Consider the following 19,088-nt stretch of genomic DNA (forward strand, 5'->3'; position numbering starts at 1 on the left):
CTTTCCCTGGCTTCTGCCTCTGATAATTTACTTTGGAGGATGATACTTCCTAGCATGTGTTATTTATATCCCAGTTTTCCCTTTTTTTTCTTCTTGATTGTTTTCAGAGTTGTAATCTTCCAATGTATATATGAGGAGAGGTGTTGATAGGATGGGATGGAGAATGGTGGTACAGAACTCTGGCTGGTGCAGAAAGCGTTCCCTATGGTGAAGGAACTCACTTTTGTTTTCTTGTTGGTACCCTGTGTGTCTCTGGGCCCTAGGGGAAGCAGGTCTATCCTTTCAGATGGCAAAACTGGCTTAGATGGCCATTAACATTTGTTAGATTAGCTTCATTGGCGAATTGAGATTTTTTTCATGGTGTTATGTGTTTGCTTCTTTTTGTATGTTTTTATTGTTTTTTTTCAACATTTTATTATAAACATTTTCAAACAAAATTGAATTTTACATTGAATACTTGTATAGCTACCATTTAAATTCTATAATTAACATTTACTGCCCTTTATTACATATCTGTCCATCTACCCATCCCTCTGTCCACTTATCAAATTATATTTTTTATGTATTTCAAAGGAAATTTCAGAAACCAGTATTCTTTCCCCTAAATATTTAGCATGCATATTATTAGCTAGAGTTTAATACTTCTTTAGGTTTTTCCTTTGGTGTAGAATATACATACAAAGAAATGCACAGATCTTGAGTGTACATTTGCTGAACTTTGACAAATGCTTAACACTTTTGTAACTCAAATGCCTATCAAGATGTAGAACATTACCATCAACCCAGAAAGTTCCCTCATGATACCTCCCAGTTAGTTCTTGCTTTACTGAGAAATTGGGGAAAGTTTTTATCAAGGAACACTAGTCAGATGCTGTTTTTAACCATAGTTTTCTCTTTGTCCCCTTGTTTATTAACTGTGATGATTTTTTTTTTCCATCTCCCTACTTAGATGGATCCTTCCAGTGTGCCACTGCTGGCCTGGCACTTTGTAGCAGTACAAAATTACGTGAATCCCATGCTTGCCTTCTGCAGAGGAGATGTTGTTCATTTTCTATTGGTAAGTCCTAATATGACCATTAGAAAGCCTCTTACAATTTTTTTTATTCATCAGCAATTAATAATGTGTCAGAGAAATTTGTGTTACTATCCTAAGTCTTTGGAGAGAGAGTGACCTATTTAATTTTTATCTAAGGCTTTAATGATTAGCATCGGAAAATGGTGATCACTCTCAGCTACATAACTTCTCATGGTTTATTTCTCAGCTTCATTTCTTTGACTGACAAATAATTAATGGTATATGTAAATGTATAAAGATATGAATGTGAATATGTGTTAATGTATGTGCAACTACATATGTGTGTATTAATGACAGCAAGTATCATTGAGCACCTATTATGTCCTCTACACTGTGATGGGCACAAGCAGCAAAGGAAAGAAGGAAGTATACAACATAATTTCATCTTCCACACAGCTTATAATCTTGTTTGAAAAGCAAAATCAGTGTGTTCATTATTACTACAGAAAATGGTTTAAGGATTGAACTATGTGATGAAAATCAAGCTGATGTAAATTCAGAGTACAAAGTGATTAGTATGGACTAGAGAGAGTATTAATGGCTTTATGAAGGATATACTGCAACTACTGCAGGAAGGGTAGGTATGCATACTGGGGGAAGTGAGATGAACTGAAGTCACAGAGGCAAGAATGTGCCTTTGTATTAATAATCTCTTGCGTTTCCTAGCTCAGTGAAGCAAGTTCACCACTGTCCACCTAGTTTCTCCAGCCAGAAACTTACGAGTTACTTTTCAGTTACCTTTCTCTCTTCATATGTGCTCTATCACCAAGTCCTATTGACTCTACCTCCAAAAATCTCTTGAATTTCTCCTTTTTTGTCTCCCCCATTGCTGTTTCCTTAGTCTAAATCATGTACATGTCTAGCCTGGATTCTGCCATAGCTTCCTAGCTAGTCTCTGGCCTCAGTGCCTTTTACATATACTGTTGCCTCTGCCAGGAAAGTTCTGTGCTATCTTCTGTTGTCTCTGAGCTCATGATTAACATGACCTTCCCTGGCCTCTGAACTAAGTTAGTTACATGCATCTTTTGATAACATTCAGCACTTAAAAAAAAACAAAAGAGGGACGAGGTCTTGCGGGTCTCCAACCAAGGCCCAGGCTGACTCTCGAACTCCTGGCCTCAAGCGTTCCTCCCACCTCAGCCTCCCAAATATTGGGATTACAAGTGTGAGCCATTGTGCTTGGCCACATTCAGCACTTTTAAAATTACTTGTCTAATATTTTTCTTCCCCACTAGACAGAAAGCTCCATAACTCTAGAGACCATCTTTACTGTTATATTTCCAGCCACTAGGACAGTGCTTGTATATTGTAAATATTCAGTAAATGTTTATAGAATTAATGACAAAGAGAAACTTGTGGTGGAAAATATAATTGAATAGATGGGGTGGATTGATAGTAGGGGTTGGCACACTATGGCCCATGCGCCAAATCTGGCCAGCCGTCTGTTTTTATAAATAAAGTTTTATTAGAACATCCCCAATACAACATTTGAGAGTCCTATCTTTACTTTCAACTCAACACATTGAAATATTCCTTAATCATTTTCTTCCTAAACAGTATCTCTTCAAATATTTCTTGATTCTAAAATGTAAAGTCAGAAATGGGATGTTTCATTCATGTCCTTCAGTCTCTAGATCCAATATGATGAGAAGGCTTGTTTTTCCTTGAAAGTATCATCCCTTAACTCTCACTGCAACCAACCCTCTTTGTATAAACACCTTACATGTGCTTTATTATGAGAGAAAAACCTTTAATGTTTCTCCTCCCTTCTGTGTGTATTCTTTTTGCTACTTCAAGACTGATCTTCCTAAAATGTCACTTTAATCCCGTCTTTATGACTTTAATTACTTAGGAACCTGTGATGACTCCATTACCAGTCTAGGCCAATCATTATTAATCTAGATCAGGGGTTAGCAAGCTTTTTGTGTAAAGGGCCACAAAGTAAATATTTTAGTATCTGTGGACCATATATTCTCGGGAAACTGAGAAAGAGTAGGTGACTGCCCTTGGTCACACGGGTATAATAGTGGAACTTAGATATATGGCTCTAGATCCCATGTTCATTTTACCAAAAGATCTTTTCTTAAGGGAGAAGTGATTTAGTGAAGTGAAGAGGGGTCCACATGAAGGGCCCACATTAAGTGGTTTCAGATTTTTGTTAAGATATCAGGTGAGGTCACCACTGTAAGTGATGGGATCAGAAGGTAACTTAAAGGGAAAGACATCTATGATACTACTATGGGGAGTGTGCAAGAAAGCCCAGGTTGAATTGAATGCCATGAATTTCAGGTGGTCGGGTGTATCTTGTGCTTTATATTTCTTCAGTGTTCTGTTACCTTGGAGCAGAAGGGGAAGAAGCAAATTATAAGGATGACTGAGGATATAGAGTGTGTACTTATATACATATAAATAAAAGATTGACACTCAAGGTCCTTTTGGGAAATTTTGGGCTGCAAGAGTTACACAAGGGAACTTCAAAAAGTTTGTGGAAAAATGGAATTAAAAAATAAAAATAAATTTTATTTCTCAACATCAGCTTCATCTTGTTCAAGATACTTTTTAAAGTGATGATACCAGCCATATAGTCCATCCTAAAGAACTGAAGGTCTTGGGAATTTAATCATGCCAATGCAGTCTTTTTCACATTATTAACTAAAGAGAAATGGGTGCCCTTTATAGACTTTTTCTAGATTAGAAGACGAAAGTCACAAGGAGCCAAATCAGTACTGTATGGTGGATCGAATTGCTCTCAAAATTGGCCTTGTGTGATGAGAGCAATGAGCAGGAACATGGTTGTGGTGGAGGACTCTCTGGTGAAGCTTTCCTGGGCATTTGTCTGCCAAAGCTTTGGCTAACTTTCTCAAAACACACTCATAATAAGCAGATATTATTGTTCTTTGTTCCTCCAGAAAGTCAACAAGCAAAATGCCTTGAGCATCCCAAAAAACTATTGCCATGACCTTTGCTCTTGCCTGGTCTGCATTTGCTTTGACTAGACCACATCTGCCTCTTCATAGCCTTTGCTTTGCTTGTGCTTTTTCTTCAGGATCACACTGATAAAACCATGTTTTATCTCCTGTTACAGTTTTTCAAAGAAATGTTTCAGGATGTTGATTCCACATGTTTAAAATTCCCATTAAAAGCTTTGCTCTTGTCTGCAGCTGACCTGGACACAACTGTTTTGGCAGCCATCAAGTAGAAACTTTGCTCAACTTTAATTTTTCAGTCAGAATAGTGCAAACTAAACCAGTTGAAATGTCTGTGGTGTTGGCTGTTGTTTCTGCTGTTAATCGTTGATCTCTTTCAATTAGGGCATGAACAAGATGAATATTTTTCCTCACTAATTGATGGGTATGGTCTACAGCTGCAGGCTTCACCTTCAACATCATCTCCTTCCTTCTTAAAACGAGTTACCCATTTGTAAACTGCTGATTTCTCTGGGGACATTGTTCCCATAAACTTTTATTAAGCATCAGTGATTTTACATTCTTCCACCGAAGCTTCACCATAAATTTGATGTTTGTTCTTGCTTAAATTTTAGCAGAATTTATGTTGCTCTTTGGGGCTCTTTTCAAACTGATGTCTTATCCTTTTTAATGCCTCAAACTAGATCCTTTTCAGACATGTTATAACAAGTTAGTATGAGTTTATTTTGGTGCAGACAATTTTTGAGATCCATGCATAGTTTTTTCATAGTATACATTTTCCATGAACTTTTTGAGTCCTCTCATAATAATATCATAGTTCAGAAAAGTCTGGTTTACATCACTGCAGCATCTCTTTTTCTTTAATGGACTTTTGACTTCCTCACACCATGTCACCTTTCCTTTTTGTACTTTAATTATAGTCATTGATGTGATAAAGTTAGGTTGTTCTGAATTATAACAGAGTGAAAACTATGTCACAGCATTTGTCAGTACTGACAACTAGACCACCCCCAGATATGCCCTGCATTTTGGTGTAAATAATGGAACAAATAATTTTTTTTCTATTTTCATAATCATTTGTGTAATTATCAGTATTTTTGGCTTATCTACAGGGAATGGGATAATGGGTAAATGTGATACTCTAGGTGGAGTATAATTAAATATCTAAAAAAGTCCCTCAAACAGTAGCTGGTTTTTAGGTTGTTTTTATTTCATCATCAGGTAAAGAGAGATGAATCTGGAGCAATACATGTTACTAAGCAAAAGCATCTTCACCTATACTATGACCTCATCAACTTTACCGTGAGTATTATTCAAATTAAATATCCCCATTTAGTTCATGTAATTGTTCTGAATCTATGATATATTAAAGCTACCAGGATTTCTGCCAAGAATTATTACCTTTAAGATCATATGAAATATGGACAGTCCGGCACCGAGGCTCGTGCCTGTAGTCCCAGCTACTTGGGAGGCCGAGCTGGGATAGCTTAAGCCCAGGAGTTCGAGGCTGTAGTGCTCAGTGATCGCTCCTGTGACTAGTCACTGCACTCCAGCCTGGGCAACATAGTGAGACCCTGTCTCTTAAAAAAAAAAAAGTATATGTGTGTGTGTATATATATACGTATATATATGTATGTATACGTATATATGTATATATATGTATATATGTGTGTATATATATGTATATGTATGTATACACACACATACACACACACACACACACACACACACACACACAGAAAGAGGGAGTCCTGGTTATATTGAATAAACTCTGAATGTGGTGTGATGCCACAAATTATTGCCTTTCAGTCTATGTCCTGCTGAACACAGGCAGGATTAGAAATTTAATGTCTTGTTTAGCTCAAAGGGGAGTTTGGCTTCAGAAGAATTTAGGTGAATTTTTTGAGAATCATTGCCTTGCTTTCTCTGTAAAACATTTTTTGTATTTTTGAGCTTTGTCTTCATTGATTCAGCAGCTTGTGCAACCTCTTTTTTTCTTGCGGCTAAAAACTTTGCAGAGCTCTCTTTCTACCATGCATCTCAATCCTGAGTGACTTCTTGGTTTTTTTTTTTTTTGAGATGGAGTCTTGCTCTGTAGCCCAGGCTGGAGTGCAGTGGTGCGATCTCGGCTCACTGCAAGCTCCGCCTCCCAGGTTCAAGCAATTCTCCTGCCTCAGCCTCCCGAGTAGCTGGGACTACAGGTGCCCCCCCATCACGCCTGGCTAATTTTTTGTATTTTTAGTACAGACAGGATTTCACCGTGTTAGCCAGGATGGTCTCAATCTCCTGACCTCGTGATCTGCCCGCCTCAGCCTCCCAAAGTGCTGGGATTACAGGCATGAGCCACCGCACCTGGCCAACTTCTTGGTTTAAAAAGAGATTTCTTTTTGTATCAAATTTTATTTTTTCTCTCTCAAATGGTTCGTTAATTTTGAGAACAATGTAATTATAATATTTCTGGGTTCCCATCATTAATACATTTTAGCACATCAGTGTCTGGTGTCCAGTAACATTCTGTAGATGCATGAATATAGGCAACCCTAAATATAAGGCAATGCCTCATTTTTCTAATAAAAAGAATGAAAAAGTGCTTTTTCCTCAACTTGATAACTGTAATTTTTTAGGATATAGATGAAGTAAATCCTTTCTTTACATGATTTATTGATTTAGTTGTACATTACATTTTTAACTCGCAGACAGTTGTTTAGAAATAATTCTTTCTTCCATACACATTTTATGAAATAATTTTGTTCAGACTCTTAGAAGACATCAGTGTTGTCATCACCAGAACTGTCTTGTTGAATCATGTCATACAGTTTTTCAGAATTTATCATCATAATTTCTGTTTAAGATGTTTGAGATACAGTACTTTAAAAATCTGCAGAAGTGTATGTGACCATTAACTGCATTGTTTTGTAAATTACCCTTAAAAGGCTTATTTACAACAATGTCAACACTTGCAACGCTGCGGGTCTAATCTCAGGAATAATTACTAAACTTATTGAGGTTCATTTTTTTCTGCCATTCTCTTGTTTTCACCAGGTGACCTCTGAGAGTACCTAAGAACTAGCACTGATTAAGGTTGTATAAGGCTAAATAATGTGATTTTTCCCAGAAAATACTTTTTCTAAATAAAATAATTAAGAGAGCACCTTATAAGAGCTTTCTGTAAAAGATTTGCATATCAAACTCCCTGTTTTCTGAAAGATATTTTTTAGAGGAGGAGAGGGGAACAAACTCTTCCCTTAGAGTGGCTAATATACAGTAATAGAGTGTATTTTTTAGCATTTTCAACTGGTTATCTTTAATTGGACATTATGCAAATAATATCTGATGACATGGAATAGAACATACAAATACACCAGCATGAATACCAGAGACATAAAGGGCAGGGGACGCACTTCGTTCTGGCGACTTCTGAATTCTGATTGAGCAGATTTTAAGATTTATTTCTTGGGAAACGATTGGGATTGCCAAAAAAAAATTTGAAAATAAGAAATCTGATTTTATACATAACCCAAGAAATTTGTTAAAATGGCATCCTTCAGAAGATTTTTAAAGTTATTATTGTTAATACTTTTAACATTATAATAGTACTTATTAAAGAAAATTTGGGAGATACAGAGAAATAGAACAAAGGACTCTCATAATTTTAAGAGAGATTTTGAAGGAAGTAGATTGTTAAAATAGCTTCTATTTTAAAATATGTATTGTTTCAGTGCTAACAATTGTCCTCTGACCAGCTAGGTTTATCGGCTTTACTTTGTTCTTTTGTTTCAGCAATATCAGAAAAACTAGAAATGCAGAGTTTGTCATGATAATGAAGTCATTTGTGCCAATTGCTTTAAAAAATCTTTTATAAAAAACGATATGCTCTAATCCACCTACAGCTTTTAGTCTTCTTTTACACTATGAAAGTGTCATTTTAACATTTTCAAAAGTCAGTAGTATATTGTACCTACTGTTCTCTGGCCTGTCACTGAGTAGTTCTTGCTTTGATTGTGTTGCCATGTAAATTGTTAAATGGATCAAGTCCTCAATGTAATTTAATCGAGCAGCCAAGCTTTCTTCTTGACCCAAATGATGAAGCGGGTGTGGTCTCACTTTTGTTTTGTTGTGTGCTTGAATTACAGTGGATAAATTCACGCACAGTTGTGCTCTTAGACAGCGTAGAGAAGTTGCATGTGATTGATCGGCAAACACAAGAGGAATTGGAGACAGTGGAGATCTCAGAAGTTCAGCTGGTCTACAATAGCAGCCATTTCAAATCACTAGCCACTGGAGGAAATGTTAGCCAGGCACTGGTAAGGATAATCACTTATCTTGCTATCCTAGAAAATACTTTGATAAACTTGGTATTTTGTTATAGTTGTTTTAGAAATAGGAACTCTGGGGAGTTACCTTTTTCTGTCTTGAGGTGTTTCTTTACAAGCCACTAGGTTGAAGTGGGTGTGGATGTGCTTATAAGTGTTTGGGAATACAAGCTAAAACAATCATTTTTCTTCCCTTCTATTCAGAAATGTGACTTATTTTACTTAATAACAAAGAGTTTTAATTTTTATACTAAAATAATGACGTATAATGGAAAATTTGTGAGAAAAATTGTAAAAATCAAAATATTTTTAGAAAGCTTAATTTGGCAGTAATAAGCCTGATAGATTTAAGGGATAAATAACTACAGACAGGTACTCTATGAGGCTTTGGAAATATTTGGGTGATAATGGTAAAGGCTTGAACAGGTATGGTAGCTGTGGGTATTAAAAAACAAAGATGGCTTTGAGAGAAAGAAGATATTCTAGAAATAGGTGATAGATGAGATGCAGGAGCCTAGAGAGAAGGAGGACGCAACAAAGTTATGGCCTTAGCATTAATTTTATTGTATCATTAAGCAACTACAGTAATGGCCTTAAGCAATTTCCACAGATAGTTTATAGTTCAGTCACCTTGAATTGTGATCTCATGTTCCTAAACCACAAATCTTTAAGTAGGAAATTTAGACCATTGTGCGAACTTCCTTGGATAATTTTTTGAAAAAAATAGTAATGATGGTCATATTTAATGAGTGACTACAGCATGATGTGTAGGCTTTGCTCAAATCTCCTTCATATTATAACTTCAGAGCATAAAATATATATGAAAGGGTCTTCCAGCCTCCCACTTTAAAAACCAAGAAAAGTCAGAATAAGAAATGATAGTGTAATATAATTCACTAAGTGATAATAATAATTACTGTTCCATACTTTATTTTCTTGTGTTTGAATGGTATTAAAAATACTAGTGGACTTTGAACTTGTACTTTTAGCCAAGAGGGAGTTATGGGGAATCAGATTTACTCTCCTGCTTGAAATAACCCAGGAAGAGGAAGGAGAAGGAGAAGGGAGGGGGAGGGGAAGGGGGAAGGAAGAAGAAGAAGAAAAGTAAACAGCAGTTCTTAAGACACTGGACATCTGTAGTGATGGACAGCAATCTCTCACCAAATGGGGAACAAATGCTGTGAACTCTGTGATTGTCCTAGCTTCCAGCCTTGAGAGAGCATCTGGGCTGTGGAGGAACCCAAATGGAGCCTGGAAGACTCCATGATTTGAGAAGACAGAGCCAAGTTGCAGGAAGACAAAATTGGGTTGAGTTTGCAAGAGAGAGTACTGGAGAAAAGAGCACTATGAAAGAGTCCCTCTTGAGTGTTCCTCAGACTCCTAATCAGCAAATGCATAGAAGGAAATTGCCCAAGGACCAGGGAAGAGCCATTTGAAAGGTTTAGAGGGAACCGTATCTAGTGCTCACACAGGGCTGAAAACAGTGCTTGTTACACCAGCTAGAATGGAAAGCTTCATGATTCACAGGGCATTGGGTAGAGTACTTAGAGGCATCTTGCCTCATTAGGACTAGAATAAATGGCGCACTGGTCCCAGCTAACACATCTTAAAAGTAAGACCAGAAAGGATCAAACTGTTTCCAAATCACTTATCTCCTAGAAGAAAACACAAGAATATTAATAGGAATACAGAAAGATCCAGAAACCAACAAGGTAAAATTCACAATGTCTCCCATCCAATTAGAGATTACTAGGTATGCAAAGAAGAAAAACAACCTATAACAAGGAGAAAAATAAAAACTAAATCACACCTGACATAAATGTTAGAATTAGCAGACAAAGACATAGTAGTTATTATGACTATACTCTTTAGTTAAAAAAGTTAAGTAGAGACATGGAAGATATTTGAAAAGATGCACATCAGACTTCTAGAGATGAAAACTATAGTGCTTATAGATGAAAAAATGCGCTAGATGGGATTAATGGCAGATTAGGCAATACAGAAAAAACGATTCATGAATTTGAAGATACAACAATAGAAATTATACAAAATGAAACGCAGGAAAATAATTTTAAGAAATAGTATTAGTGAACTGTGAGACCACATCAGATAGCCTAATGTACGTGCAGTTAAAATCTCTAAAGGAGAGAAGAAATTGGAAAAACTAATGGTCAAAAACTTTTCTAAAACTGTAGACACACACATTTAAGAAGCTCAGTGAACCCAAGCACAACTAAAATAAACTGTATACGAATTGATCAAAATTAATGATAAGTAGAAAAATTTTAAAGCAACCAGTGGGGAAAAAAAGACACATTAAATGCAGAGGAGCAATAATTATGAGAACCCATTTCTCATCAGACAGTCAACAGTGATCTGTAAAGATTTAGAAGTGGACAGTGAGCACTTAAAGAGCTGCTCAACATCATTAGGTATTAGGGAAATGCAAATCAAAATCATAATGAGATACTGCTTCACACCCACTGGGAAGGCTATCATAAAAAAAAGAATAACAAGTGTTGGCAAGGATGTGGCGATATTGGAAGCCTCATACATTGATGGTGGGAAACTAAAATGGCGCAAATGCTGTGGAAGATAGTTTGGCACTTAATTAAAAGGTAAACATTGAGGCCAGGCGTGGTGGCTCTTGCCTGTAATCCCAGCACTTTGGGAGGCCGAGGCGGGAGGATCACCTGAGGTCAGGAGTTCGAGACCAGCCTGGCCAACGTAGTGAAACCCTGTTTCTACTAAAAATACAAAAATTAGCTAGACTTGGTGCTAGGCACCTGTAATCCCAGCTACTCGGGAGGTGGAGGCAGGAGAATCGCTTGAACCCAGGAGGCAGAGGTTGCAGTGAGCCGAGATGGTGCCACTGGACTCCAGCCTGGGGGACAGAGTGAGACTCCATCTTAAAAAAAAAAAAAAAGTTAAACATTGAATTACCAATCTGACTCAGAAGTTCTACTCCTAGGTGTGTTTCCAAAAGAGTTGAAAACACACGCTTATATAAAAACTTGTATATGAACACACATAGCAGTATTATTGTTAATAACCGAAGAGTGAAAACAATCTACATATTCACTAACTGGTAAAGGGATGTACAAAATGTGGCATAGCCATTTAATAGAATACTGTTCCACAGTAAAAAGTATGACAGCTGATACTTGGCTACAACATGGATGAATCTTAAACATACTAAGTAAAAGAAGACATGCAATAAGAGCACATTTTGTTTAATTCTATTCATATAAAATGTCCAGAAAAGGCAAATGTAATTTATAGAGACAGATGTACATTAGTGGTTACCTGGGTTTGGAGGTGGGAATGGGAGTGACTACAGGTGGGTACAAGGATCTTTGCAGAGTGATGATAATGTTCTCAAAATGGATTTTGATAATGGCTGAACAACTGTACATTTACTAAAAAATCATTGAATTCTGTGCCTAATGAGTGAATTTTATGGTGTGTGTTATATCTCAGTACTGTTGTTTAACAAAAGCAATTGACTGTTTAAAACAAAAATAATGTGTTGTGAAGTTTATGATCTATAGAAGCAATATATATAACAAAAATAGTATGTAGCGCTGGGATGTAGGAGATGAAAGTACATCATTGCAAGGTTCTTACAGTATATGCCAAATATTATTTAAATGTAGACTGAGATAAGTTACACATTGTAAACTATAATCACTAAAAAAGACGTGTAACTAATAAGTCATTAATAGTGATGAAATGTTAAAAAATATATTAAATACAAAGGAATTTTTTTACCTTTTTTGTATGTATGTTTTTCTTCCAGGCTTTGGTTGGAGAGAAGGCTTGTTATCAATCCATCAGTAGCTATGGTGGTCAGATCTTTTATTTGGGGACAAAAGTAAGCTCTTTTACTCTGTGAGTTGGTATTTGTATGTATCAGGGTAGTTGAGGCTGAAGGAGATTGCTGGTAAAGAGGGCAGTATATTGCAAAGTGAATATTGGTCAGCAATTATCCTAAACCCTTTGTGGTTAGGTAGGCATGATTTTTAGTTAATTATTTTTTTCCTCTACTTTTAGACATATTCTTTACTTTTGTTTAGGTGCTGGCTAATAGGATGCTTATTTTCTTGATTCAGAGATGTGCTTTTGTAAGCTTCCTTCACGTTTATGTTTTTATGACCAGGCAGCTACCTAATCATGGATATTTGTCATGTACTTAAGATGGCTGTTAGCTTAGATCAGCTTAGGATGCTGATTAAAATGTATTGAGGTATTTGACTTAGAATAGAATTGTTGGAATAGGAACTTTCTGTACCTCAATTTATCTCAGTTTGTTCCTGTGCTTTTTAAAAAACATGGAGAAACATTTCTTCATTATTAAAATTTAACCAAAATATTGCCAAGTCAGTAGAGGGAAATGAGCTTGGGCTTTCCTTGCTTCTTGTCCATGGAATTAACTCCTTCTTGGACTGTAGACCTTTAAATAGACTTACTCTTTAATGTGAGTTCTAGGCCAGATGCGTTGCCTCACACCTGTAATCCCAGCACTTTGGAAGGTCTTGGCGGGCAGATCACATGAGGCTAAGAGTTCAAGACCAGCCTGGCCAACATGGCAAAACCTTGTCTCTAGTAAAAATACAAAAATTAGCCAGTTGTGGTGGCAGGTGCCTGTAATCTCAGCTACTCGAGAAGCTGAGGAATGAGAATCATTTGAACCCCGGAGGTGGAGGTTGCAGTAAGCCAAGATCCCGCTGCTGCACTCCAGCCTGGGCAACAGAGCGAGACTCTGTCTCAAAAAAAAGAAAAGCGTTCTTGAAGACCCATTAGTAAATTCTAAGATATACTTCTAACTGTAGTATGAAATGTTTTACTTAAAGGGATATCAAATGAGATGTGGGACTAGGACAAATGTATCTCCCAAAGAAGTCTGTTAAGGGTGATCATTTTAATTTCCATCTCTTTACTTTCCAGTCTGTTTATGTGATGATGCTGAGGAGCTGGAGAGAGGTGAGTTCCAAGTAATTTCACATGTCAGAGTTACTGAATTGGTAGCTTCTTAACATTTCTGTTTTGACTTTTCAGAAGAAGATTATTTGGTAAGCTTCTTAATTTCAGAAGTGTACAAGAAAACCATTATAGCTGTTAGGTACTTGATTTGCTAGAACTGACAGTATAAGTTAGAATTAGGTTTGTCTACATATATTAGAAAATTCAAAATAATAGTGGCTTAAATAAGATTTCTCTGTCATGTAAAAGCACCTGGAGCTAGGTGGTCCGCAGCTCTTGTAGGAATTCCATAAGCTTAAGCGTGCTGTCCTGTTCCACCATGTTTGTCTTTGAATTCTGGTCTCAGGGCCATTTTATAATTCAGTATGGTTGCTAGAGCTCCAGCTGTTACCACATTTTAGGAAGGAAGAAAGAAAAATAAAGGCTGTCTCCTACCTCTTAAGATGACATCCCAGAAATACCAGACAACACTTCCACTTATCGTTAGCCAGAGCTCAGTCACATTGTTCCCAGTGGCTACAAGGTAGTCTTAGAAATATCCTTCAGCTGGTATATTGCTGTCTCAAATAAGCTTGGGGTTTGTTACTACCAAGGAGGAGGAAATCAATGTTGTGATAAACAACTAGCCATTTCTGCTACAATGGCATTCCAGCTATTTCCCCTTTTCATATTTAGGCCCCGTGGCTCTCTATACTAGCATATATAGTCATTATACTATCTAGTGCTTGAAGATATTATTTTTCTTTGAAACAAGATATTCACATAATTATTAAAATAATTTTAGCCACTAAGCAGCAACTTCTGGAAGGATTTTAGGTGGAATAGGAATTCTGACTGGTGACTGGTCAGACAAAGGGGCCTGGTTTCTCTCATTTTTCCGTTTTAGAGAGTGGATCATCTCCTGAAACAAGATTGTCTTACAGAAGCGTTGGCTCTTGCGTGGTCTTTCCATGAAGGAAAAGCAAAAGCAGTAGTGGGTGAGTAGGCAGAATTCCAGTGTAGTAGACGTGGTTCTCCTGGAGTAGAGGGAATGGTTAGTACTAACCACTCATAGGACACTTTTAGCTGAGTGTCGAAGTGTTTATAAACAGGATGCTAATTAAACCTTATAGACTTTCAGTTAAGAAGGTTAATGTGACAAATAATGTGACAAATAGAGGGTATAGAAATTAAAATGTCGCTTTTAAAATTATTTTGTAAGGAAATTACTATTGGAATGAAAGAGAAGTACATTGATATGCTATCCGGTCCAGTAGATTTGAGGTGTTCCTATTATGGTGTATTATCCAACATTTTGATAGCTAAGAATTGTTACAATTATACCTGTTGTTTCACATCTTATAAATATGAAACCAGACATAGTTTCACTCCTAAAGATGTGGACTAACTTTTGTTTTTTTGTTGGATTTTCCTTCTCTGCAGGATTATCAGGGGATGCCAGTAAGCGAAAGGCTATTGTTGCAGACCGGGTGAGTATTTTAAGAGGGTCTTTACTAGAATACAGTGCAGATTTGCTTTTGTCATTTGCCAGTATCTTTGGGCATGAGTAGATAAATGGCTACAATCTAGAAGAGAGTGTATTAAAAAACACACACACACACAGACACACACTTGGGGTCAGGGGTTCAAGACTAGCATGGGCAACATAGCAAGACCCCGTCTCTAAAAAAAAATAGAAAGATTAGCCAGGTATGGTGGTGTGCACCTGTAGTCCTAGCTACTTGGGAGGCGAGGCCAGAGGATCACTTGAGCCTAGGAGTTTGAGGCTACAGTGAGCTATGATTGCGGCACTGCACTCCAGCCTGGGCAACAGAGTGAGACCTGTATCTAAAAAAACAGTCAGGTTATAATTCCCTGTGTCATCTTGAATACTTTTAAAATTCCTTCTTAATCACCTTTTCTTTTTTCCCTTGCTCACTCTTTTATGAAGATAATAAAGTACATAGCCAAAAGACAGCAGGAAGGAGGAGGAAGAAAACCTGGGAATCTGGATTATTTCTGAACCAAGTAATAGCCCACAGAAAATTGACATTTGTTAGTTTTTATAAACTTACTAGTAATTATGAGAACTAGTGTATGTGCAAATGTTTGTGTTGCCCAGAACTAGCAGAGAGGATTAATGTTTTAATGTTATTATTAATTAGCATCAATATAATTGATGCTAATATTTAATATTGACCTTCTGTTCCTACTCTAGACTGGGCTGAATTAATTGACTATAGGATTCCCTCCCTTTTGTTGTGTAAATGCATTGGTAAAAATTATATTCCAAATTAGTATAAACATTTGTGGAAAACCTGGATAGAAATTGGTTACTCCTTAGACTCCGAATGATTTGCTCATCTGTGCTCTTTAGGGAAACACCTACAGCGAGGATTACTGAAGAACTTGAATGTTTCATTTCCTGAGCAGTATAGATGCCACTGAGGTCTAGAACATGGAGATATTTCTTAAGAAAGATTAGCAAATTAGTACTAGCCCTGAGACTGGAAGAAATGAGGCTAGAGTTTTAAAAAGTTGGTAAATAAAGCCACTAAAATTTTCAGTTAAATTTTAATAACAAATTCTAATTATGTATTATTTAGGAGAGCCACATACATATTGAAAAACTTTAGAGATATATTTTAATGTCTATGCCAGGCTGTTTTCCTTACAGATGGTAGAAATCCTATTCCATTATGCAGATCGAGCTCTGAAAAAGTGCCCAGACCAAGGAAAAATCCAAGTGATGGAGCAGCATTTTCAGGTACACATTGCATGTGCTTCCAGTAGACGATGCTCTGGATAGGTCTAATACTCCTCTTTTATGTTACTTGAGAATGTGACTTTCATTTTTGGTTAAACATTTTTTTAGTATTCAAAACTTTATTTCAGGGCTTGTAGAACATTCTAAATGATTATATTTTTAAGTAATGGGTATAAATGAGTAAAACGTTGTGGAGTGTTACTTAGCGCTTAGCTGCTTAGTGGCGTGTGGAAGGAAAGGATATACGTGTGAAGATCCTTTGCTGTAAACTGATACCTTATAGTGGCTGACATCCTGCTCGTCTAATATTTATGTTAACCAGGTTATTTAGTACTGCCAAGGTTTAAATTTAGTTCTCCTAGGAGCACCTATGACTTAAGAATAATAGATCAATCACAAATATATATATATATATAAAATATGATCTATAAAATATGCTAATGAAAGACCTTTAGTTTATCTTGGAACTTAATGAAAATGAAAGCCAAAGAACAATGTAGACGTGTATGTATTTATTATGCAGGTTTTACTTTCTGCAGTGCTCTCCAGTTATATTTGTTGCAAATTGCTGTTCCCCATTCCTACTACTCCCTTCCCTCTGCCTACCTCCTCTTTTAACAAATATTTGAGTGTCCAATACAGGGATCAGCAGACTTTTTCTAAAAAGACTCAGATAGCAGAGTTTAGGCTTTGCAGGCTACAGTGGTCTCTGTCACATCTTTTTCTTCCTTTCTTTTGTTTTTTGATTTTTTAAGCAACCCCTTAAAATTGTAAAGTCCATTCTTAGCTGTGAACAATACAGAAACAGGCTATGGGCAGGATTTGGCTAAAGTGTGCGTCCCGTGGTCTGATATGTACTTGGCACTGGGCAATAGTAAAATTTACATGATCTTTACTATCTTAAAGTTTGTAGTCTAGTCAAAATAATGGGTTTTTTTGGTTTACATTAATGGACATATTTAGAAGAAATCTAGGGATTTTGAAGTTCTAAAGAGTAGGCACAGGTCCTATCTTTTCATATTCTATTTGATGCTTGTAACATTGGAAGACAAGAATAGATATGGCAGTTAAGAGTTGGCTGGTATCAGAGAAGCATTTGGCTTCCTGAACTGTGCTGTTCAATGCCATGCTAGTGAGCTTCTGGTAGAGTAACTGTTATTACTCTGTTTGGCTGGATGCTTATTAAATTTATCAGTAGAGAAGGAGAAATAAGCCTAGATAAAGTTATAAAAATAAATAACTTAGGAAGAAGACATATGGTAGAAAGAAAGCATTTGGGAACAAAACTGTTTGGAAACAATACTTTATATATAAGTACTTGTGTATACCAATGCAGTATAGATAGAAAACTTAATATTTGTAACAAGAATATACCTATCACCAAGAGGTTGTAGGAACTCTGGCCTTTGGAAGGTATACTTTGTTGAAAAAAATCATCTAGTAGAAAAAGCTAGGAGGGGTGAATGGAATGAGTGTGTATGTGTGTGTGGAGAATATAGAAACCACAGTGTTGGGGGAAAACGTGGTAGAGAGCTTCTTTCTAAAAGATGAAAGGAACAAAGGTGACGTTCTGATGGAGAAATAGTAAAGAATCTCAGATACGGGAACTGTAGATGGTGGTTTCTGATGCATTCCTGTAGATGGTGGTTTCTGATGCTGACTGCAGAACGTACAGAGATGCATTACTACTAACAGATGTTAGTAGTAATGTGCTCTGTAACCATCTAGCTTCCTGTTAGAAGTCTCATTCTGTTGGTAAGAGTATCTGATAAAATTTTTGATTTTTCAGTGATTAGTCTCATAGGAGGTGAAGGAAACAATGGAGGGGACTATTTCTCTGGATTTAATTTTTACTAATGATTGGGGAAGTAGAAGAGATAGACCCTTGAGAGAAAAATTATCACTTTATTTTAACAATCATAATAATGATGAAAAATATACATAGCATGAGTCCTCTATTTCAGAAAGCAAATATCTCAGAAAAAAATATGGGCACAATCACATGGCTACAGGCTCCAAAAAAAGAATGGGTTCACAAGGAACAGGAAATTCTAAAATTTCAACCATTCAAGGAGAAAGTAATGTTGAAAGAAGGTTCTATCTGCAAATCACAGAACATCTATAAATATGGAGAAAGGCATATAACTAAAGATACATACCAGAAGTATCATGAACTTGTAAGACTGTCAGAAAGGAGAATGATATGGTCCAGACTGTGCCTACCACAATGCTGTGGAGTACAAAATAGGGATTTTTAACAAAGATTTACTGAGCACATACGATGTGCCAGATACTATGTAAAGTATGTGACATGTATTTTTATTCTCAAAACAACCTAAGGCAGTAGGTGTCATTTTTAATCCCCATTTTATAGATGAGGAAACAGGCTTAGAGGAGTGAAGTGAAGTTCCAAGGTAATATTGCAGTAAATGGTGGAGATGGGACTCATATCCAGGTCTTTCTGACTTCAAAGCCCAGTTCTTAGCTAATCATTGTATTATACTGTTATTTTAAGAGCAAGCACAGGGAGAAGATGAGTGAGAAGGGGTGATGTTAATAAATCACCAAGAATGAGAATTACAGCAAGCATCTAAACTGTTTAATACTTAACTGTGTGGCAGACACTGTTACAGACCCTTTATGCATATTTATTAACTCATTTAATTCTTATCATAACTCTGTAAGGTGGCTACTGTTACTATTCACATTTGTAAATGATGCCGAGGCACAGAGAGGTTAAATTATTTGTTCCAGGTCACAAAGCTAATAAATGAGAGAGCTAGAATTTGAATTCAAGCAGTGGGCTTCAGGGTTTACATCCAGACTGCCACACTATACCACAGAACAATGCTCCTCATTTTGACTCCATTTTCATGACCACAGAGAATGGTTTTAAAGTGGAAAAGTCCAGATAAGTGTATTAAAAAACTGAAGCCGACCATATGTAATGTGTAATATCATTATGATTGTTCAACTCTCAAGACCCAGTAGAATTATAACCCATGATACTGTTGAAACAATCTGGGCCAACATGAATAATTTGC

General features: G+C 36.5%; 1 protein-coding gene across 24 annotated transcripts in view; it reads left to right on the forward strand.

Annotated features, from left to right (window-relative positions):
• The window catches only part of VPS8 (VPS8 subunit of CORVET complex), a 240,449-nt gene that overhangs the window by 42,596 nt on the left and 178,765 nt on the right, over positions 1–19,088 (forward strand). For 22 of the 24 annotated variants that reach the window (NR_146113.2, XM_047447824.1, XM_024453426.2 and 19 more), the window contains 8 exons: positions 950–1,057; positions 5,224–5,304; positions 8,136–8,306; positions 12,115–12,189; positions 13,263–13,298; positions 14,185–14,275; positions 14,721–14,767; positions 15,955–16,044. Coding sequence is in view for 21 of the 24 variants with exons in the window: in XM_047447824.1 (XP_047303780.1) it covers positions 950–1,057; positions 5,224–5,304; positions 8,136–8,306; positions 12,115–12,189; positions 13,263–13,298; positions 14,185–14,275; positions 14,721–14,767; positions 15,955–16,044 (699 nt within the window). In the remaining 3 variants the exon portion in view is untranslated. Of the gene's footprint in view, positions 1–949; positions 1,058–5,223; positions 5,305–8,135; positions 8,307–12,114; positions 12,190–13,262; positions 13,299–14,182; positions 14,276–14,720; positions 14,768–15,938; positions 16,045–19,088 lie in introns of those variants that run through there. The other 2 variants (XM_011512599.3, XM_006713556.5) reach the window with 2 other exon arrangements.

The sequence above is a fragment of the Homo sapiens genome, chromosome 3, assembly GCF_000001405.40.
Source record: "Homo sapiens chromosome 3, GRCh38.p14 Primary Assembly".
Lineage (NCBI taxonomy): Eukaryota > Metazoa > Chordata > Mammalia > Primates > Hominidae > Homo > Homo sapiens.